This window comes from Homo sapiens, chromosome 1 (assembly GCF_000001405.40).
Source record: "Homo sapiens chromosome 1, GRCh38.p14 Primary Assembly".
NCBI lineage: Eukaryota > Metazoa > Chordata > Mammalia > Primates > Hominidae > Homo > Homo sapiens.
The window spans coordinates 56,077,516-56,101,163 of record NC_000001.11 but is presented as its reverse complement, the minus strand read 5'-3'; the positions used below and the strand labels follow the sequence as shown (position 1 = coordinate 56,101,163).

The following is a 23,648-nucleotide window of genomic DNA, read 5'->3' as shown; positions in this document are numbered from 1 at the left end:
CCTTCAGTAGTTTATAAGAACAAAAGTTCGTTTCTCATGTAGTTGACATGTTGACTGTAGGTAGACATGGCTTCACTTTATGTATCTCCTTCGTTCTAGAACAGAGCCTGCCTGAACAGCCCTTATTTGGGACATATCATTTTTTTATCAGGGAAAAGAACAATGACAGAACCATATGATGGCTTTACATTCTTTGCTCAAATGTAACACATATCACTTCTGATTACATTTAATTGGCCAAAGCAAGCCATATGGCCAAACATAATATTGATGAAATGGGAACATGTACTTATCCCACAGTCATGTATACCACACAATGTATGGTAAAGATACACAGTCCTATTGCAGGAGAGCAGCATGTAATTGGTACCAGTAATACAATCCAAGCACATCGCTTAATTACTCATTTAACCTTTTTAAAGTTAAGTGATTAGGCAAATTAAATATGAGTGAACGCAATGTGTGTCACTTTCAAGAAGAAACCTTTAAAGACTATTGCATGATTCACCCCTTTCTTTTCTTCCTGCTGTGGGAGACAGTTGGGGGATGTTCAGTTCACGTGTATTCCTGATGGAGAAAGGGGAGAAGAGCCCTTGGTCAACTTGTAATAGACAGGTAGTATGAACAAGAAGTTCATCTTTGCTTTCTGAAGCCACTGAGATTTTAGAGTTGTTTGTTACCACAGTATAACATAATACATTCTTTCTGGCATAGATGCTAAAAGTTATTTGAAAACCACTCATTGATTTAAAGAAACTACCACATAGAACACAGTCATAACCCGTTTGTTTGCATAGTTCTATGCACAATAAGTGCTTAGCAATATAAGACAACTTATCTCTCATATGCTTTCTGTAACTACAGTTGCTTCTCTTTATGAAAATGATCCTAACTATTGTGATGATTAATTATTTCTCTCTTTGTGCTGCTCCTTATGGTAGAAGATACTGAGAAAGTTGTTTGCCTGTCATGCCTTCTGAAGGAATTGTTCCCTTTCTCTCCATCTGAGTGGTTGTAGTAAAAATCGCCATGTGATATAATGTTACTGAAATGGCAAGGGCACACTAAGTTGGGCAAATAAGTTTTTTTCTGGGAAATTCCATCTAGAACTAAGAGAGTTGAACAGGGCTCTTGGTGTGTGCCTGGATTGTAACATCAAAGTTGAGACCTGCTGCCAGCCAGCTTTTACTGTGTGGTAATCTGTGGAGCAGAGGAAGCCAGGCTTCAGCTGCAGGGATAACCACATAGACATGCACAGCAGAGTTGGAGAGGAAAGTCAGGAGTATTTGAGTTCCTGGGACCAGTTTGACCTTGGCCACATCTGAAGTAGCTAAAGATATATATCAGGTATCCACAAAATATGGACTGAGGACCAAATTTGGTCATTTTATTAATAAAGTTTTATTAGAGCACATTCATACCCATTTGTTTGCATAGTGTCTATGGCTGCTTTTGCACTATAATGGCAGAGTTGAGAAGATATGATAGAGCCTTATCGCCCACAAAAGCCTAAAATCTGTACTATCTGTTATTTTTTTAAGACAAAGTTTGCTGACCCTTGATATATGCTACCTCATCCTTTAAAAACTGTACATTTTCATATTTTTATATAAAAATACAAATTCATAAATGCCTCATATATACATTATAATTTTTATGTAAATTCATAGATGTAATTTTCACAGGTAGTAGTGTAGAATCAAAAATGATTGTACAGCACTGATATAGGCAATAAAGAGTCTCTGGAAGTATTTGATCAAGGCAACAGCATAAACAGATCAACAGGACAATTCTAGGGTCAATTTGAATAGGAGAGAATAGGAGAATAGGATCAATTTGAATAGGAGAGGAAGTTAAAACTGATGTGAGAGTTTTGCAATTTAGACTAAAAAAAATACTTTAAAACTGGTTGGGAAAAGTAGCAGTTGGGATGAATGGAGAGGAGAGGACTCATGCAAGTGACTCAGATGTGGCCTTTCAGCAGTTATTCCCCTACAGATGACAAACTCCAGGTTTGAGGGAACAGATTGCTTGGCTACGAGAAACCATCAATAATGATTTGCGTGATCATCTCATCTTGGCCCAGTCCCCATTCCAACCAAGTTATTAATACACACATTATTCTTCTTAAAGAAATAGAGAAACACATTCCATATTGCCACAGAAAGGAATTCTCTGTGATTTATGCTGAAGTGCTCCTAGAACTTTTTTTTCAATCATTCATCTTCAAGAAATACTAAAGATAAATATATCATGAATCCAGAGGTGCTTCTAGTCAGCATCTGGAGATGATCTTGAGAATACAAATCTGTTATCATTTTTCACCACAGGCCTCAACTGTCAGAACATGTAATAAACATAACCAGCCAGAGGACTGAGGGGAGGCAGAAGGCACACAGTTAACCACTGCAGCAGAAAGTAGCAGAAATGAAGGTATGCTCGCCCTGTACCTACTTTTCATAAACCACCACTCTCTTTTTTTCTAACAAACGTTTGAATGCTAAACACACTACTATTGCTGATACTTTCCAAGGGTGTAATGTTTCTTTAAATTGTCATATGGAGAGGCAGTTTAGTGTAATAGAAAGGACATAGGCTATAAAGCCAATCAAATCCTTGTCCTGCTACTTAATAGCTGTGTGACCTAAAAATTCCTTAACTCTGCTGACTACTATTTTCATGGCTATCAAATAGACTTGTCTATAAAGCCGTAATGTAAGTGAGACTATTATCAGAGCCTAGAAAAAAAGTTGTTGTAATTATCATTACAAAACCATTCTTGCATTACCACTACACATTCACCAGATGATTAAATGAAATAAACATAAAATACATACCATTGGTGAGAATATGGAGCAAGTAAAGTTCTCATACATTGCTGGTTAGAATGTGAAATTGGTACAACTCACTTTGGCAGTACCGACTAAGCTGAACGTATCCTAGTACTTAGCAATTCCACTCCTAGATATGCACCCAAAATAACTGCTTATGTAAGTTCACCAAAAACATGAAATAGAATGTTCAAAGCAGCACTATTCATAATAGCATATAACTAGAAATTGCCCTAATGCCCATCAATAATATAAGGCAGGTATCAGCAAACATTTTCTGTAAAGAGCCAGATGGTAAATTTTCAGTCCAAGAGGCAAAACTGAATTATAAGTGCATCATTAATATTTCTGGTGCCCCAAGCAACAGTGCAAAGCAATAGTACTACAGATGGTCTCTGTTGTAACTACTTCACTCTACCATTGTAACGTGAAAGCAACCACAGATAATATGAGAATGAGTAAGCATGATATGTTCCATAAAGTTATTTATAGACACTGAAATTTAAATTTCATATAATTATCATGTGCCATGAAATATCACTCTTTTGATTTTTTAAAACATTTAAAAATGTAGAAAACATTCTTAGCTTTCAGGCTGTACAGAAATAAGAGCCGGGCCAAATTTGGCCCATGAATTGTAGTTTCCTAACCCTTTGTACAGTGGATAAATAAATTGTACCTTCACACAGTGGAATACTATACAACACTGAGAATGAAAAAATACAAGTGTACACAACAGTATGGATAAATTTCATGGATATAACATTAAGTCAAAGAAGCTGTTTATATAAATGGAATCATATACTTTTTTGTATGATTCAATTTATATAAACTTCGAAAACATGGAAACTAATCTATGGTTTTATAAGTCACCATAGTGTTTACTGAGTAGGGGGTAGTAACAAAAAATGGGAATGAAAGAGATTCTGGAGTGAATGGTAATGTCTATTTCTTCATTTGGCTTGTTCATTTATAAAAGTTCAATAAGGCAAATGCTTGTGATATGTATGCTTTTCTGTATGTATATTATATTTAAGAAACACTGAAAAAATTCCAACCAATTCCATTCTTCAGAGCAGGCTTCCTCTACTTCACATGTAGCTAACAAATTTCTTGGTGCTCCTCCCCAATTTTGTTACCTTATTTTCTATTGCTAGAGAATTGAAAACACCAATTTGTCCTTGGTTTTTTAGTGGAAAGAATAGCTGATATACAGTGTAGAATCCTGTACTTAGAAATGAAGATCTGAGTTGAACTCCACTGTGTATTAATTGATTAATTGTGTAACTATGGGGAGGCACTTAGTCTTTCTGAGTTTTTGTCATCTGGAAAATGGGGAAATAATTCCTTCTTTATAGGTTTGATGTAAAGATTACCCTTGATAATGAGGAATTGTTCTGTTAAGCTGTACATGTCTATACAAATTATCATTGTTTATGACATTCCTTGCTTAACTACCCACAATGATCAAGTTCAACCGTATTCATCTTCTTTCTTCCCTATCTTCTACTCCTCTGTTTGGAGAGGCAGTATAGCATAGTGGTTAGGAACATAGACTCTCAGTTCAAACCTGGACTTTCCACTGGTATTGCAGTTTCTCTGAGCCTCACTTTCCTCCGTGGTAAAACACCTACTTCATATTGTTCCTTTAAAGGTTCTGGTAGCCAGCCTGCAAGATGGTCTCATAGATCCTGCCCTCCTGGTATTCTCACCCTGGTGTAGTGCTCTCCCATACTGTACCAGGGTTTGTCTCTGACAATAGGATATGCTGTAAATAAGGGAATTCCACTTCTGAGATGAAGGAAGTTAGGAAACATTGTGGCTTCTGCCTTGAGTGCTGTCTCTGTCTTGGGTTACTCACTTTGTGGGAAGCCGGCTGCTATGTCAAGCATCCCCATGGAGAGGCCCACATGGTGAGAAACTGAGGCCTGCCAAAAACCACATGTGACTTGGATTTTGTTCCTCCATCCTGAGGTAAGCTTTAAAATGACTGTAGCCCTGGCTACAACCTCATGAAAAACCCAGTCCAGCAAGCTACTCTCAGATTTCTGACCCTCAGAAACTGTTAAATGATAAATGAACTAACAGCAGTAAATAGGACCTGATGCATACCATTCATGCAATAAAATATTAGGTGTTATTATTATCTGCCCCGAAAAAGCTGGCACTTCCACGTTTGTAAATCCTGTTGCTGATGCTGCTATATTGTGCAATGCAACAGCCAGTGTCAATGGACAGAGCATAGGCAGTTTCTCTCCCTTTTCCTGGTCCCCATTAGATAAAACATTAAGTGTCTTCTGTCTGAGGAACATTGGCCCTAGTGTGTGGCTGGGAGTCTTTATGGAAATGATTCCCCATTCTAGAATATTTTCTTCAAGGAACCTGCCTCCAAACCCCACGCTCTTGCCTTCTGACTTTTCCTTGTACTTCCTGTTCTTCAATTCCCTTTCTTGTTTTCTCAATCATGCTGATGATTCAGATTCTCCTACTTTTGGGATGTGGTCTTCTGTTCCCTTTATCATGGGCTCCACAACTGCCAGGTCGGCCATGGAGTCAACTGGTCCTTCTGACAGCAGAGGTTGAGATGGAGTTAGGGGTACTATATAAGGGCTCTGCTGAAGGTACTATGAAAGGCAACAGGAAAAGAAGCAGGATGGGGCAGGGAACACCTGCAGACCATGATGTAGATCCAATACCTGGGAAAGACAGATGAGAGTCAAGATTGGGTTGAAGAAACCTCAGATCATGATGCAGGTTTGATAAGAGCACTGATGCAACAGTCAGCCACAGAGCAAAGATAAGCTGAAAGAGGAGTCCTAATTCATGCTGAAATGGCCACTTGGCATTTTTACCATGCTCAGCCATTAGCAAGGGGCTATCTGGGACTTCTGAGACCTCGGCAAGAAAGCCGAGATGAGTCCTAAAGGAGCTAGTATCTGGAGGAGTCAGCTCACTGTACTCCTTGCACCTACGGCAAGTTGTTTCTTGAAGGATGGTCCAAGCCGTGCCCCTCCATGGCTTCTACAGCCATATTCTTCCCCATTGCCAAGCCTGGCCTCCTAGAAGCCCCCCTTGTGTCAAACACTGGGGGTTCCCGCATGCTTGGAAACAGGGCTGTTACATCCCCTGGGCTACTGCAGGCAGGGAGAAATAAAATGAATGGAGTGTCAATATGAAGAAAGAAGACACTCATAGAAGTAAGAAGAGAATTAATTATCTCTATGGCAACTTTAGTGGGCACAGAATGTTTGGTAATAATCGTCATGTTTTTGCTGTGCATATATTATGCATTCTGTACTGTGCAAGGTATTTGCTATAAGAAACCCAGAACTGTCAAATTATAAACTCGCAAGGGACTCTGGTGCCTAGTTAAGTTTCCCTCCCACAGAGCAGGAATCCCTTCTAGAATGCCCCACAGGTTCAGTGTCCTCTTACATACATCCAGTGATGGCAGACTTTTCACATCCAGCTATCTCCTTGGTTGTTGGACAGCTCTAGTTGATAAAATCTTCCCCCTCAAGTGGAATTCAAAATGACCCATCTCCATTAATTTCTGAAGTCAGTTTCATAAGACTTATTGATCTCTTATTTATTAATCTTTTAAATAGTTGAAGATAGTTGTCATTGTTCCTGAAATGCTTTTGGGGAGGGGAGGCAATAGAGCCTCTGATTCCTTAACTATAAAACAATAGGGAGTTATTCCTACTGATCACTAGGGTCTCTTTAAGGTCCAAAAGTCTGTGAAGTAATGAAAACTTCATGAAACAATTTTCAAATAAAAGAGAGCTTCATATAAATTAAAAAACAATGCACTCACTCTGAAGTGTTTGTTGTACATTTCCTCTGGAGCACACTGGGACTCAGGAATAGTGGGACCATCTGCTTAGCCATTGCCCATTTATGTTGAAATAAAACAGGCTCTCTTGCTAATTAGAAGCATGCTCCTCAAGATGAAACAATACAATCTCTCCAACATTTCCCCACCATTAGCAATTCCTGATGTTGACACAACATGTGAATACAACCCCCACTTCCCATCGGGAAGAAAATAAAATAGGCATGATAGTTCACAGCACAAGAAAGAATTCTTTATACTTACACTGAACTAGCATACACGGATGCACTATGTGCCGGCTTCCAGAATAGGTATTTTCTCATATATTACGTTATTTTCTCATATATTACGTTATTTTATTTAATCCTCGCAAGAACATTATGAGGTAGATTTTATTAACTCTACATTTCAAATGAGGAAATCTGCGCCTCAGAAAAATTGAGGAATTTGTTCAAGGTTACCTAGCTGACAAATGGATAAACTAGGACCTCCTGACTTGAAGTCCAGTGCTCTGTCCATCTACCAGCTACAAGAAAAGATCTTAATAAAACCCCCATTCCTAGGTATGTAGAGTATGTAGATACCTTATTTTGGGTGACCTCAGAAGTAGACCCCTAAAAGCAAGGATTTAGGTAAAAGTAGTTTATTTAAGAGGATAAGGAAATACCAAAATAGAATTGGTAAAGTGAGTCAAAGAAGGGAAATAGCCAACAAATTGTGCATTTTCAAACCTACTACTACTGTGGACAACTGGAACTAAACGCTGTTGGAAAAATTCTGAAAACCAGTGCACAGAATTAACTTACCTGAGGGGAAATGGGCTGGGGTATTTATAAACCAACTCCTTTAGTCATCGGTTGAGGTCTTTTTTTCAGCAGATGTTAACTTTCTGGCACTAACCTGCTGCAGATGCAGACAAAGCATGCTTCAGTTGCCTGAGAAAGACCTCAGGCAGAGAAATTCACAAGCTTGCAATTGGAGGTCAGGTTAGTGTGCACTAAAATAAAGGCAAGGGGTTATCGGCAGAGCCCAGATAGCACTTTGTATAGCAACTAAGTGTCAGATACTATGCAATCTGTCAGCAAATATATCTTGACTACCAACTGTGTGGGATGACACAATTGTGACATAACACACACACATGCTTGCATGAGGCTCATTATGCAGGAAGTAGGACAGAACTAAGTCATTCTAAATAAAAATGAAATAATTAAAATGTGCTAAGTGTTGGAAAATCTCTGAAAGGGATCTCCCACTTTCTAGCCAAAGGACTGGGCATAGGGACTTTCCATGAGCTGGAGAGTATGGGAAGAAATCCCTGTTGTTCATTTGTTTTTCTTTTTTTCATTCCTTTTTTTTTCCTGGCATTTCCCTAGCTCCAGCCCCATTTGGGAAGCTGCATGGCAGTTGGGGGATTGTGGTGTGGGCCTCTAAGTTCCAAGGAGATAGCCTGTTTCTCTGGCCTAATTAACTGAGTAAAAGACTCCTCCAGCCTGAAGAATGTAGGGGAAATCCCTGTTTCTCCATCCTCTTTCTTTTGTTTTCTTTTTCTTTTTCTTTTTTTTCTTTTTTCTTTTTTTTTTTTTTGCATTTTATTTTTATTTATTTATTTATTTATTTATTTATTTATTTATTTTGAAGTGGTTTTCTTTTTTTTTTTTCTTTTTTTTTTTTATTATTATACTTTAAGTTTTAGGGTACATGTGTACATTGTGCAGGTTAGTTACATACATATACATGTGCCATGCTGGTGTGCTGCACCCACTAACTCGTCATCTAGCATTAGGTGTATCTCCCAATGCTATCCCTCCCCACTCCCCCCACCCCCCAACAGTCCCCAGAGTGTGATGTTCCCCTTCCTGTGTCCATGTGATCTCATTGTTCAATTCCCACCTATGAGTGAGAATATGTGGTGTTTGGTTTTTTGTTCTTGCGATAGTTTACTGAGAATGATGGTTTCCAATTTCATCCATGTCCCTACAAAGGACATGAACTCATCATTTTTTATGGCTGCATAGTATTCCATGGTGTATATGTGCCACATTTTCTCAATCCAGTCTATCATTGTTGGACATTTGGGTTGGTTCCAAGTCTTTGCTATTGTGAATAATGCCGCAATAAACATACGTGTGCATGTGTCTTTATAGCAGCATGATTTATAGCTCTTTGGGTATATACCCAGTAATGGGATGGCTGGGTCAAATGGTATTTCTAGTTCTAGATCCCTGAGGAATCACCACACTGACTTCCAGTATGTGGTCAATTTTGGAATAGGTGTGGTGTGGTGCTGAAAAAAATGTATATTCTGTTGATTTGGGGTGGAGAGTTCTGTAGATGTCTATTAGGTCCACTTGGTGCAGAGCTGAGTTCAATTCCTGGGTATCCTTTCTGTCTCGTTGATCTGTCTAATGTTGATAGTGGGGTGTTAAAGTCTCCCATTATTAATGTGTGGGAGTCTAAGTCTCTTTGTAGGTCACTCAGGACTTGCTTTATGAATCTAGGTGCTCCTGTATTGGGTGCATATATATTTAGGATAGTTAGCTCTTCTTGATGAATGGATCCCTTTACCATTATGTAATGGCCTTCTTTGTCTCTTTTGATCTTTGTTGGTTTAAAGTCTGTTTTATCAGAGACTAGGATTGTAACCCCTGCCTTTTTTTGTTTTCCATTTGCTTGGTAGATCTTCCTCCATCCTTTTATTTTGAGCCTATGTGTGTCTCTACACTTGAGATGGGTTTCCTGAATACAGCACACTGATGGGTCTTGACTCTTTATCCAATTTGCCAGTCTGTGTCTTTTAAGTGGAGCATTTAGTCCATTTACATTTAAAGTTAATATTGTTATGTGTGAATTTGATCCTGTCATGATGATGTTAGCTGGTTATTTTGCTCGTTAGTTGATGCAGTTTCTTCCTAGTCTCGATGGTCTTTACATTTTGGCACGATTTTGCAGCAGCTGGTACCGGTTGTTCCTTTCCATATTTAGCGCTTCCTTCAGGAGCTCTTTTAGGGCAGGCCTGGTGGTGACAAAATCTCTGAGCATTTGCTTGTCTGTAAAGTATTTTATTTCTCCTTCACTTATGAAGCTTAGTTTGGCTGGATATGAAATTCTGGGTTGAAAATTCTTTTCTTTAAGAATGTTGAATATTGGCCCCCACTCTCTTCTGGCTTGTAGGGTTTCTGCCAAGAAATCCGCTGTTAGTCTGATGGGCTTCCCTTTGAGGGTAACCCGACCTTTCTCTCTGGCTGCCCTTAACATTTTTTCCTTCATTTCAACTTTGATGAATCTGACTATTATGTGTGTTGGAGTTGCTCTTCTCGAGGAGTATCTTTGTGGCGTTCTCTGTATTTCCTGAATCTGAACGTTGGCCTGCCTTGCTAGATTGGGGAAATTCTCTTGGATAATATCCTGCAGAGTGTTTTCCAACTTGGTTCCATTCTCCCCATCACTTTCAGGTACACCAATCAGACGTAGATTTGGTCTTTTCACATAGTCCCATATTTCTTGGAGGCTTTGCTCATTTCTTTTTATTCTTTTTTTCTCTAAACTTTCCTTCTCACTTCATTTCATTCATTTCATCTTCCATTGCTGATACCCTTTCTTCCAGTTGATCACATCGGCTCCTGAGTCTTCTGCATTCTTCACGTAGTTCTCGAGCCTTGGTTTTCAGCTCCATCAGCTCCTTCAAGCACTTCTCTGTATTGGTTATTCTAGTTATACATTCTTCTAAATTTTTTTCAAAGTTTTCAACTTCTTTGCCTTTGGTTTGAATGTCCTCCCGTAGCTCAGAGTAATTTGATCATCTGAAGACTTCTTCTCTTAGCTCATCAAAGTCATTCTCCGTCCAGCTTTGTTCTGTTGCTGGTGAGGAGCTGTGTTCCTTTGGAGGAGGAGAGGTGCTTTGATTTTTAGAGTTTCCAGTTTTTCTGTTCTGTTTTTTCCCCATCTTTGTGGTTTTATCTACTTTTGGTCTTTGATGCTGGTGATGTACAGATGGGTTTTTGGTGTGGATGTCCTTTCTGTTTGTTAGTTTTCCTTCTAACAGACAGGACCCTCAGCTGCAGGTCTGTTGGAGTACCCTGCAGTGTGAGGTGTCAGTGTGCCCCTGCTGGAGGGTGCCTCCCAGTTAGGCTGCTCAGGGGTCAGGGGTCAGGGACCCACTAGAGGAGGCAGTCTGCCGGTTCTCAGATCTCCAGCTGCGTACTGGGAGAACCACTGCTCTCTTCAAAGCTGTCAGACAGGGACATTTAAGTCTGCAGAGGTTACTGCTGTCTTTTTGTTTGTCTGTGTCCTGCCCCCAGAGGTGGAGCCTACAGAGGCAGGCAGGCCTCCTTGAGCTGTGGTGGGCTCCACCCAGTTCGAGCTTCCCGGCTGCTTTGTTTACCTAAGCAAGCCTGGGCAATGGTGGGCGCCCCTCCCCCAGCCTCTCTGCCGCCTTGCAATTTGATCTCAGACTGCTGTGCTAGCAATCAGCGAGACTCCGTGGGGTAGGACCCTCCAAGCCAGGTCGGGGATATAATCTCGTGGTGCGCCGTTTTTTAAGCCCGTCGGAAAAGCGCAGTATTCGGGTGGGAGTGACCCGATTTTCCTGATTTTCCAGGTGCCGTCCGTCACCCCTTTCTTTGATTAGGAAAGGCAACTCCCTGACCCCTTGCACTTCCCAAGTGAGGCAATGCCTCGCCTGCTTCGGCTCGCGCACGGTGCGCGCACCCACTGACCTGCGCCCACTGCCTGGCACTCCCTAGTGAGATGAACCTGGTACCTCAGATGGAAATGCAGAAATCACCCGTCTTCTGCGTTGCTCAGGCTGGGAGCTGTAGACCGGAGCTGTTCCTATTTGGCCATCTTGGCTCCTCCCCTCTCTTTTTTTTCTTGTATCTGTTTTTTTTTTTTTTTTTTTTTGAGACAGAGTCTCACTCTGTCACCCAGGTTGGAGTGCAATAGCATGATCTCTGCTCACAGCAACCTCCGCTTCACAGGTTCAAGTGATTCTCCTGCCTCAGCCTCCCAAGTAGCTGAGACTGCAGGTGCCCACCAGCATGCCCAGCTAATTTTTGTATTTCTACAGAGATGGGGTTTCACCATGTTGGCCAGGCTGGTCTTGAACTCCTGACCTCAGGCGATCCACCCACCATGGCCTCCCAAAGTGCTGGGATTAAAGGCATGAGCCACCGTCCCTGGCCCATCCCCTTTCTTTTCTCAGTGTACTTTGCCCCAATGGTAGACACATTTGTATTGAATTTTTTTTTTTTTGGGGACAGGATCTCACTCTATTGCCCAGGCTGGAGTACAGTGGCACAAGCTCAGCTCACTGCAACCTCTGCCTCCCAGGGTCAAGCAATCCTCCCACTTCAGCCTCCTGAGTACCTGGGATTACAGGCAGCACTACCATGCCCAACTAATTGTTGTATTTTTAGTAGAGACAGGGTTTTGCCATGTTGTGCTGGCTAGTCTTGAACTCCTAAGCTCAGGCAATCCACTTGTCTCAACCTCCTAAAGTGGTGGGATTACACGTGTGAGCCACCATAACTGGCCCGTTATTACATAATTGTTTGTCAACATAGGGGGATAAAATACTGAAAGGAATCCTGAATTTCTAGCCAAAGAACTCAGAAAAGGAGTTCTCTAGTTCCCATGAGAACCAAAAAGTATGATGGAATCTTGGAGGAAGAGTTCTTGGAAGGGAACCCTAAGTCTGTGTATGAACTAACACAGTCCCTAACTTACCCTCAAAATGGATGTGTATGGAACAAACCTAAATAAAGTAAAACAAAGTCTGAAAACTGAACTTATGTTGGAACTAATCCACAGCAAGTGGGATAAAATGTGTGATCTGAACCTAACTGATTTAATTGCTAAGGCAACAATAACAAGTCAACATTTGTTAGAAAATATAGGATCTTACAACAAAATATTCAAAATGTTCAGGGTGTAATCCAAAATTACTTTATATACAAAGGACCAGGAAAATATACCTACCCCTTAGGGGAAAATAAAATCAATAGGTATCAACCCTGAGATAACCTAGATGTTGGAATTATCACACCTAGACTTTAAAGCAGTTATTACAACCATTCTCTAGAAGGTAAAGATGAATACTGTTGAAATAAATGAAAAGATGGAAGCTTTCAGGAGAGAAATAGAAAATTATAAAAAAAGATTCAAATTGAAATGTTAGAACTGAAAGATTTAAGAACTGAAGTAAATAACTCACTGTATGGTCTCCCTAGCAAAATGAAGTGAACAGAGGAAAGAGTCACTGAATTTGAAGGCAGGTCAATAGAAATTATTCAGTCATAACTACAGGGAGGAAAGAAGATTGCAAAAATATGAAAAGAGCCTCAATAACCTGTGGAACATAAGGATATTTGTAATCTAGCTATGAAGTAAAATAATAAAATGAACACCTAAGAACTAATTACCAAACGTAAAAAGTAAGATGTTATTAATACTCTAGCTACTTCTGTGTTCTTCACTTCTCCTTATTATCATGTCTTCTTTTCATAGGCAACCTCCCTTTTGATTTTTATATTTATCATTTTTCCCATAGTTTTATCACATGTATTTATTCTTCAAACTATATATTTCAAAATTAGTTTTGTTATAATACTGAATATAATAATTGGAAACTCACTTTACAACTAAGATTCATCTGGCCGGGTGCAGTGGCTCACGCCTGTAATCACAGCACTTTGGGAGGCCAAGGCGGGTGGATTACCTGAGGTTGGGAGTTTGAGACCAACGTGACCAACATGGAGAAACCCTGTCTCTACTAAAATACAAAATTAGCCAGGCGTGGTGGTGCATGCCTGTAATCCCAGCTACTCAGGAGGCTGAGGCAGGAGAATCGCTTGAACCTGGGAGGCAGAGGTTACAGTGAGCCGAGATCACACCATTATACTCCAGCCTGGGCAACAAGAATGAAACTCTGTCTCAAAAAAAAAAAAAAGATACATCTATGCAGTAATCTGTAGCTATAGTTATTGTTCTATAATATTTAAATGTGTAACTATGCCATGATTCAAATATCATTTTCCTATATAATAATAATGTGTTATTAATATCATGTTAGTCATGATAACAAATAGAGAATATACTCCCACTTTGTTGTTTTTCTTTGTCCTTCAACTTTTAAGTTTAGGGGTACATGTCCAAGTTGTGCATGTTCGTTACATAGGTAAATGTGTGTCATGGTGGTTTTCTGCACAGATCATCCCATCACTTAGGTATTAAGCCCAGCATCCATTAGCTATTCTTCCTATGTTCTCCCTCCCCAACCCCTGACAGCCCCCAGTGTGTGTCGTTTCCCCCCATGTGTTCATGTGTTCTCATCATCTGGCTCCCACTTGTAAGTGAGAACATGCACTGTTTGGTTTTATGTTCCTGCATTAGTTTGCTGAGGATACTGGATTCCAAATTCATCCATGTCCCTGCAAAAGACATGATCTTGTTTCTTTTTATGACTGCATAGTATTCCATTATCCTCCCACTTTGAAAGCATCTTAGTTATTATTTGACCATTGTTCTTTCAAATACGTTTTAGAATTATGGAGTCAGTTTTCTCAGAACACCATAATGGAATTTTACCTATTTATTTATTTTGCTATTACAAGCAATGTTGCTGTAAAATTCTTTTGCATGTCTCTTGATACACATTTGTATCATTTCTCTGGAGAAAAATCTTCAGGAATGGAACTTCTGTGTCATAGGGTATGTAAATATTTAATTTTATAAAACAATGCCAACTAATTATTGTACTTATTTACATTCCCTTCACATCCTCAACAACAAATGTCATTTGTTTTTTTTGTTAATATGGTGAATAAAAATTAATTATGATTTTTTTGTTAATGATTTTTTAAATGATTTTTCTGTTAATATGGTGAATAAAAATCATATCCCAATTTTCATTTCCTAGACTACTATGTTGAACATCTTTTCAAATATTTAATTGCCATATGTGTGTAATTTTTTTGTGAAATGCCAATTCATATTTTCCATTTTTCTTGAGTAATTTGACTTTTCTTATTAATTTGTAATAGTTACTTTTACATACTGTACACAATCCTTTGTCACTTAAAAGTGTTACAAATACCTTCTTCTAGTTTTTGGCTTATTTTTTCACTGTCTTTATGGTTTCTTTATGAATAAAAGTCTTCAAATTCAATACAGTTGAAGGTATCACTTTTTCGTTTTATATTATCATTTTTGCGTGTCTTAATAAGTCATTTTAACCCCATTCTCATATATTTTTCTGTAAAATCTATACATCTTAAAGTTTTTCTGATATATATATATAAATATATACATATTCGTTTTTTGGATATCCAATTGGCATAGAACCATTTAATAAATAAATCCTCTTTTCTCAAATAATCTGTGGGGCTTCTCAGTGAGATAACAATTTTTCCTATATGTGGAGGTCTTTTTTAGAATTCTCTATTGTAATCCTATGGTTGATTCATCTGTGCCTGCATCAATACCAGACTGTCTTAATTAATAAACTTTATAATGAGTTTTGATAACTAATAGAGGATATTCTCCCACTTTGAAAGCATCTTAGTTATTATTTGACCTTCACTCTTCCATATATAGTTTAGAATTAGGGAGTCAGTTTTCTCAGAACATTATAATGGAACTTTAATTGGAAATGTATTAAATTTATAGATCAATATGGAGAGAGTTAACGTATTTATAATAGTCTTTCTATGAATATGGTATAGCTCTTCATTAATTTAAGTCTTCATGTAAGTTATATTTTATAGATATTTGGCCTTACCTTATTGTTTCATATGAGTGCTTTATGTATTCTGGAGGTTTATAAGAATTAACTTTTATATGTTGATCTTATAAGCAGCCACCTTTTAAAATTATTTATTTATTTATTTATTATTTTTTGCTATGGAGTCTTGCTCTGTCATCAACCAAGGCTGGAGTGCAGTGCTGTGATCTTGGCTCACTGCAACCTCCACAAGATTCTCCTGCCTTACCTTCCTGAGTAGTTGGGATTACAGACACTCACCACCACGCCTGGCTAATTTTTGTATTTTTAGTAGAGACAGGGGTTTTGCCATGTTGGCCAGGCTGGTCTCAAACTCCTGACCTCAGGGGATCTGCCTGCCTCGGCCTCCCGAAGTTCTGGGATTACAGGCATGAGCCACTACGGTCAGCCACATTTTAAAAACATCTTATTATTTCTAAAAAATGGTCGATAGATTATTTTAGGCTTCCTATCAATACTTACATAATTTTCAAATATGATAGTTATATATTTTTTATTTTTCCCCAGGCCTAATTATTTTTGTTTTTTCCCCTTGTTTGATGTCTCTAAGGAATCAGGTTCTGTTTCTTACAGAACTTTGGGACTATCTATCACCTAAGACAAAAAGAAAAAAATAAAAACTTGTGGGATGTGCACTTTTTCTTTCATCAAGGAGAATGAGAAGATCACATCCACTTAAAACATTTTAAAGGGATGATGGGAAATAAAGTTGTGTTTAATTGTTCTACAAGTCATGCCAGTTCAATATATTAGTTGTTTCATATTGTCCCTAATTAAGACTTATTAGGTATCATTATTTCCATTTTACAGATGAAGAAATTGAGAGTAAGAAATGGAACATATGTTGTCCAAGGTCACAGCCCTCTAAAGTATTGGAGCTGCAATTTGAACCCAAGTCTGTCGGTCTGGATTGTTGCAGTATGCCAGGCTCCCTCAACTTTAGGTGAGGACAGGAAAAGGCAAAAGACGTCCCTGAATTTGTAACTTAAACAATAGAGTGCACTAGGACATTGTTATAGAATGGAGAAGACCACAGAAAGTTTGTGGAGGGGTTGAGAAAAAGGGTTTGCTTCTTGACATATTTTTCTTTCAAGTTAATACCCATTTCCCCCTCTTGGTCTAGTTCACAGATGATTAAGTTCTCTTTGTTACTATATGGAGAAAAATTATCATATTGGAAATGTCCTTAGCAACTTGAGAGAATAACACTCTCTTCTTTTTGCTATCTTGTAACCTAACCCTGTGGTCAGCTGTTTGCCTGTGTCCTTTGAGCCAGCCAAGAATAGCCACTGTCGGTCCTTAGCTCTACAAAAGCCACCCTAGGCCAGGGCCTACAGCTGGATGACATTTTTTATTTATGGAAGTAATCCAAATCATTACTCTTATGATATCTAAGTCATTGAAGATCCTGTTTTGAGTGATGTATAGTTTTCCATTGAATAGGACTATTCAAAGGAGAGCAAGAAGTACCCCAAAGGGCCCCCTGAACTCCAGACACAGCCTTATTCACCACTGTAATGTAGTAGTAGCACCCCAATTTACATCTGGTAATTGGGATTGAATACTTCTGCTGGAACAGTGACACTCTTCTCTGTTGGTTCAGCAGCTCAAGAAGACTTAACATATGGGGGAGAGGTAGTCTCAGCTTTTCATTCAACAGAAATAGAACTTTTTCTCTGGTGGAAGTATTTCTTCCTCGGAGCAGTAGGAACCCAAGCTTTCTGAGCCCAGGGTGGTGATTTGGCAAGCAAAACTTTTTCTATAGGATGTTGTCTTCTACCTGGTGCCAAAAGAGAGCCTTTATTAGGCCATTCTATCATTTTGTCAAGCCAGCTATATCTGAGCAATGGGGCACATGGTAATGCTAGTGAATTCTATGAGTGGGAACCCACTGTCTCGCTTTCTTTGTTATGAAATATTTTCATTAGTTGGAAGCAAAATTATACTGGACATTATAACAATACATAAGTTATTCTGTAAGACCACAAAAAGTAGAGCTGTTATAAGTATGCAGGCAGAGAAGGAAAATCTTTACCTGGAATATATGTTTATCCCTATCAGAATAAATAGTGCCCCCATCATGATGAGATGGGTTCAAGATAATCAACCTGCTACTAGATGACCAGCCGATCCCCCAGAAATAATGCCACATTAGGAGCTCAGCAATGACCTCTTCCGTTATCAGGTTGGGCACTCACCAGTGACAGGTTCAATTTTAGTGAAAACATTTTGTATCCATTGATGATATACACTTGAAGAATATTGCCCGCCAGATGACAAAATAAAAATGACACTGTGAAATTAAAATCCTAGCAAATTAAAATGAATCCATAAGAAAGAGTTTGGTTTCCAGGGCTTATTATATAAACACATTTTTGTAGCATCAATGATATGTGCCATGTGCAGAGCAGAGAATAAAACAGAAAAACTGTATAATTTATAACTTTTATGAGCTTAAAAATCAAAGCAAATAGTTTCTAAAAATATGATTGTTGCTGCAAATTAAATAAATGCAAAATGTTATAAGAAATAAATTACTTATGCTTGATGGAGTAAGAAAAGACTTTAGCCAAAGAGCTGAATAATGAAGAATAACAGAGCAGTCTAAAAGAAGAAAGAAAAGGTATGGTGTCTCAGGAAGAGGGAAGAGTTTTTGCAATGTCACTGAGACATAAGGATGAGACACCTCTATTGAATAACTCTAAAAATCACAGTTTGATTGTAGCATTGGGTTATATGGTTCTGCAGGAAGGGGTTGGGGAAATATGGCTAAAATGTTAGCAAGGCCCTGATCATGGAATGTCTAGAACATGGAGGACATTGCTAGCTGGTAATAGTTTTGCCTTTACTTGGGCAGCAAGGAACAATTGGAGGGTTTTAAGCAGGTCAGCAACATGATCAATTATTTTATGTTAGAAAGTTCATTCTGTATAGGGATAAATTGATATAGGGCTAATAGGTGCTTATTAAAAAGGGAAGGAAGCAATGATGGTGACCTGAGTAGGTTTTCACAAATTTGTTGCAAAGGGGAGGTATAGAAGCAAGAAATGTTTAGGAGGTGATATCCCTATGGCTTGGAAATTGATTTGGTTGAAGAATGGGGGGAAAACAGCAGACTCTTAAATGTCTACAAAGTTTAGGGTTTAAATGGCTGGTTGTGTGATGATGCCATTAACAGAGATGGGAAATAAAAGGAATAGGTTTCCTGAAAGAAATTAATTTAATTTAAATAAACAAAATTGATCCAGTTCCTAAATGTAATGGAAATAACGTACAAGGTAGGTGGGTGGCAGTATGAGTCTGGAACACAGGCTTAAATTCAGAATTGAAACCTAGATTATAAATTTAGGAGCATATTGATGGCAGGTGAAGTGATGGATAAAGATTAAATTTTCTAGTAACAGTGGTTAAACGGGAAATCCTGTGCTCCCCTCTATACTCCAATCTCCAAAGGACTGTGAATTTATATGCTAATCCTCAGTTACCTAGAACAATGATTGGTATATAGAAAGTACTCAAAAATGTTTCTTAAATGAGGAGAGAGAAGAAATAAACTGGACCAAGAAAAATATAAATATAAGAAACATCAATATTACAGGGGAGAGCAAGGGAAGCAGTGAGAAGCTCTGAGAAAGATTGGCCAGAGAGAGAAAAAATTAGCAGAGAATAGTTCTGAAAAGTCTAAGTATGACAATGGAAAAGAAGGAATGGCCAAGAGGATCGAATGTTGCCAAGATGTCAAATAAGCTAAAGACAGAAATGTGCAAAATGGAATTGATGATTTGGAGAGAGGAAGAAGAGGCAGAGGGAATGGAAAAGTCAATGAGGAATAAGGAAATAGAGCCAGAGACTGTAAACAACTCTTTAAAAAAATTGGATGGGAAAGAAAAGAAATTTGATAAAAGATAAATGGAGATTCAGAAACACATTTAATTTTTCATTTTTTGTCGTTGGTGATAGTATTTTTTTAAAAGACATTCCTTTTGGCTGAAAGAGATTCAATTAGGTTTATATGCTGCAGAAGAAAAGGAAAGGTTAGAGCTCAAAGAGGAGATGATTGATGAAGCAAAATTTCAGAGAAGACTTAACCAGACACTGGAGGAAATGGTGGTAACTTTATCATCTTAGCGGCAGCTGAAAGTCCCTCACAGTCACCTTCATTTTGGGTTTTGGAAAGACCTGGCTCAAGACTCATCCTGCCTCTGCAGACTTTTCCATGGGTTCCTCTGCCCGGTTTCCATCAGCTGTCACAGCTCAGGATGTATCTTGGCTGCAGTGGGGAGGAAACGAAATCAAGGAAGAACTGGAGAGAAGGATCCAGCATCTGCTTGCGGCTGGAAGCTGACTCCCACACTCAGCATCTTCCCCACACCCGGCCTTCTGCTGTTTGGGCTTTGCGCTTTCCTATGGAGTCCTCTTTATTTTTTTCCTCTGAATCAGAGTGGGTTGGGAAATATAAACACAAGAGTCATGACAAACTTGTCCATGTGGGAAAGAAAAGATGTCATTGCAGTTTTAGCAGAGTATCTGGGTAGCAGTTACAGCAGAGAAAAAGCAGGAGGACTTCATTATGGCTAAAACTTTACTTCTTTTCCTTCCTTTCTTCCTCATTAAATAAACTCTTCTTTGGTCTATAGTAGAAATTCAGAGATGAAAAATTCAGAGATTCCCTGTCCTCAAGGAATTGTTGGTAAGTTGGGTATAGATGTAAAAAATGTGATGTACCAAGGTTTCCATCAGCTGTCAAGGACTGAGACCCCTCCCCACCGAGTGGGAGCAAATTTGCAGGTGGGTTATATCCCATCCCCAGGCCTGAGAACTGAGGATCCTAAGACAAAGAGAGAGAAAAATCTATCTGAAGGAAGGAAGTTTGAGCATGCAGAGTGGGGTGCTGATTCTTCCTCTACAGCAGCTGGAAGAAAGATAATAGAAAAAAGAAACAAGCAGAAGTAGAGGAGAAACACCATTTACTGCTTCATTAAACATTTATAGGGCACCTACTGTGGGCCAGGCACTGGGTGAGATGATGTGCAGAAATATCGGTGGTAATAGCTCCCTAGGGCAAACTCAGAAAATTATAGTCTCTGGTCCACTGATCCCCAGCCAGGGCTCTCCAGACTTGTAGAGGTACAAGAAGATAGCAATGATAAATTCATGGGGTTTTAAAAAATATTTAAAACCTGAACTTAAGATATTTCAATAAGACCAACTATAGAATCCAAGAGTGGGAGGGGCAGTTGCCAACTCGCAAGGCATTATAAGCTATAACTCACGTTCTGCCTCCGGTCATACGGGAATATTTTTCAGTTCTTCAGGAAGTCACACCCTGGGTGTGTGACACATACTGTTCCTTCTGCCTTCTCTCCTTCCTCTACTAGTTAATTCTAATGAGTCATTTGAGACTGGTCTCAGATGCCATATTATCAGGCCCAGAATGGGTTAGATTTATCTTCTAGATTTCCATACCACCTTGGGCTTTTCCTATCTGAGCTTTGATGACGCATTCCACATTGGAATTCTGCTTCCTTTGGTGTCTCCCACAATACTGTGAGACTCTCCAGCATTGGAAATATCTGTGATTCCTCCCTGAAGCTTCAACAGCCAGCGTGATGTTCCAGCTAACACAATATCCAACCTACGGAAGGTGCTTCATAAACGTTTGTTTAATGGAATTACAGTCAGAGAAAGAGCAAGAGTGCTTCACCATGACTAAAAACTTTACTTCGGCCTTTCTCTTGTATTTTTTTTCTTTCAGTTGCTGTGGAAGAATCATCCGCCTTACTGTATGGATGTTCAAACTTCCTTTCACAGAAAAGAATTCTCCTTAAATTTGTCTTGGGACCCTCAGTTTTCAGTGTCAGGGACCATGTAGCCCACCCTGAAAGATCTCTTCTACTCCAAGGGGACGTGGCCTGACACTGCATGGGGCAACGGAAAAAGCACCGTCTGGGGAGCCCCAGAAGATACTTTCAGGGTCTGATTCTGCCACTAATTCCTTCTGTGGCTTCCATATGTTATTTTTCCTCTCTAAATTTCACTTCCTCCTTCTTAAAATAAGGAGTGAGGAGGGGTTGGGGACCAGATGGGAAGTAGCATAGTGTGGGGGAACAGACAGGAACAATATGGAATCAGATCTCTCAGGGATCAGCTCCCAGCTATGCCACATGCACTCTTTGTCATGGAACTTCCCTGAGCCTCAATGCTTTCTGTGAGAAAAGGGAATGACAGTATCTGGCTCTTCTAACCATTGTGAGAATCATAGGCAGGTACCATGTGCCTGTCATTGGTACATACTGAATAAGTCATATTCTTCCTCCCTTAAGGCATCTTGTAGTCCTCATATTTTCATATTCAAGATTCATTATCTTCATGCAGTCAGCCTTAGCCAATATGCTCTTGGACTCTTCCCACATACTCAAATACTTCATTCTTTTTCCATTAAATTATTTTAAAAAGTGTTTATTCCACTTATCCATTCAGTATTTTAAATAATTCACTTGGAAAAAAATCCTACCTCTACTCGATGTTGACTGAGCGATCCTAGACTAGTGGTTTTCAATTTTTTTTGGGTCTCAAGAACCCCTTACACTCTTGAAAATTATTGAGCAACCCAAAGTGCTTTTGTTTATGTACGCTCTCTCTAGTGATAACAGAATTAAAAGCAATTTTGTTTATGTAGGTAATATCTATTTACATTAGAAATTAAAACTGAAACATTATTTTTAAATATTAATTTATTTTAATATAACAATACATCATTACACACTTACAAAATAACATTTTTATGATAACTATATTTTCTTTAAAAACAGTGAACAGTGTAGCATTGTTTTATATTTTTGCAAATTTCTTTAATGTCTGACTTAATAGAAGACAGCTAGATTCTCATATCTACTTTTGCAGCCAGAATCTGTGCAATATATTGTCTGAAGTCTATGGAAAAATCCAGCCTCACACAAATATATAGTTGGGTATAAAATTAATATTTTTAAAACCTTTTTAGATAATTATTGGTATTCTTTGATACTACACCAAAACTTGGCAAGTGGTAATTCCTTAAAGATTACTTGCAATGTGGCCGGGTGCAGTGGCTCACGCCTGTAATCCCAGTACTTTGGGAGGCCGAGGCAGGCAGATCACGAGGTCAGGAGATTGAGACCATCCTGGCTAACACAGTGAAACCCCGTCTCTACTAAAAATATAAAAAATTAGCTGGGCATGGTGGCGGGTGCCTGTAGTCCCAGCTACTTGGGAGGCTGAGGCATAAGAATGGTGTGAACCCGGGAGGCGGAGCTTGCAGTGAGCTGAGATTGCACCACTGCACTCCAACCTGAGTGACAGAGCAAGACTCCATCTCAAAAAAAAAAAAAAAAGATTACTTGCAATGTGAAATATAAAGCCACATCAATGCGCTTTTTGTATTCTACTACATTGAAATCCACTTGGTGTATCTTTTAATTTGAATGGATTATTTTTGCCTACACCTAGTTTTGTAACATTCTGCACTGGCTATATGGAAAAATATCAGTTCACTGAGTTATGCAGATCTTCAAAATGTTGACTCATTTCTTTGTACAATAACAAAAAATCACACTTCTTAGCTTCACCAGAAGTCTACATCATCAGAAAATCTGTAAGTATTAGTATGATGTCAAGCTCCTGAAGGCAGATACAAGTTTTCCAAAATTTTAGTTTTTGCTTGAAAATGTGAATTTAATCATTGGCAGAGAATGCCATGAGTTGTTTTCCTTCAAGGGGCAGGGTCTTTTCATTCATTTTTGAGAAAACTTATGACATATACCATATGAATAACCATAGTTTGTCAGTTGCTCTTTCAAGTAATAAAATTATTTTTTTTAATGCTTAGTAAGGACATTTTTAAGTGAAATTGACTTTTGTTTTTATTTCTGTTTTTTAACTGTGAGTGCATGTGTTAAATAATACAATAACTACTAATAAAGTTTATTGTCACTGCCTCGATTCCTGCTAAGGTACCTATAGTTTTACCCAAAGGATTCATGAACCACATTCTGGGAAAGATTGCTAATATTTTTTTAAAGGCAAAGTAGCCTCAACTGTAGACCAGACTAGACATCAAGTCCAATTTGAGAGCAGTTTTAACTTTTCTTTGACAATGACTGTGGCTTCTTTTCCAGATGACATCTGCCTAGTATGTAATTGGCGACTACATCCAAGTAAA

At 38.7% G+C, this 23,648-nt stretch overlaps 1 long non-coding RNA gene across 4 annotated transcripts in view, besides 1 other annotated feature; it reads left to right on the top strand.

Moving 5' to 3' along the window:
- LOC105378741 (uncharacterized) overlaps positions 1-23,648 on the top strand; it is a 74,511-nt gene that overhangs the window by 24,326 nt on the left and 26,537 nt on the right. For all 4 annotated transcript variants that reach the window (XR_001738064.2, XR_001738066.2, XR_001738065.2 and 1 more), the window contains exon 2: positions 2,331-2,433. This is a non-coding gene — a long non-coding RNA (uncharacterized LOC105378741). The remainder of the gene's footprint in view (positions 1-2,330; positions 2,434-23,648) is intronic.
- Positions 20,240-21,439: an enhancer, noted in NCBI's record as "P300/CBP strongly-dependent group 1 enhancer chr1:56545398-56546597 (GRCh37/hg19 assembly coordinates)". NCBI's record gives its function as "activates an origin of replication core promoter dependent on BRD2, BRD4, P300/CBP, MED14 and CDK7 cofactors, with strong dependence on P300/CBP, by STARR-seq in HCT116 cells {active_cell/tissue: HCT116}" and the evidence as "EXISTENCE:reporter gene assay evidence [ECO:0000049][PMID:35650434]".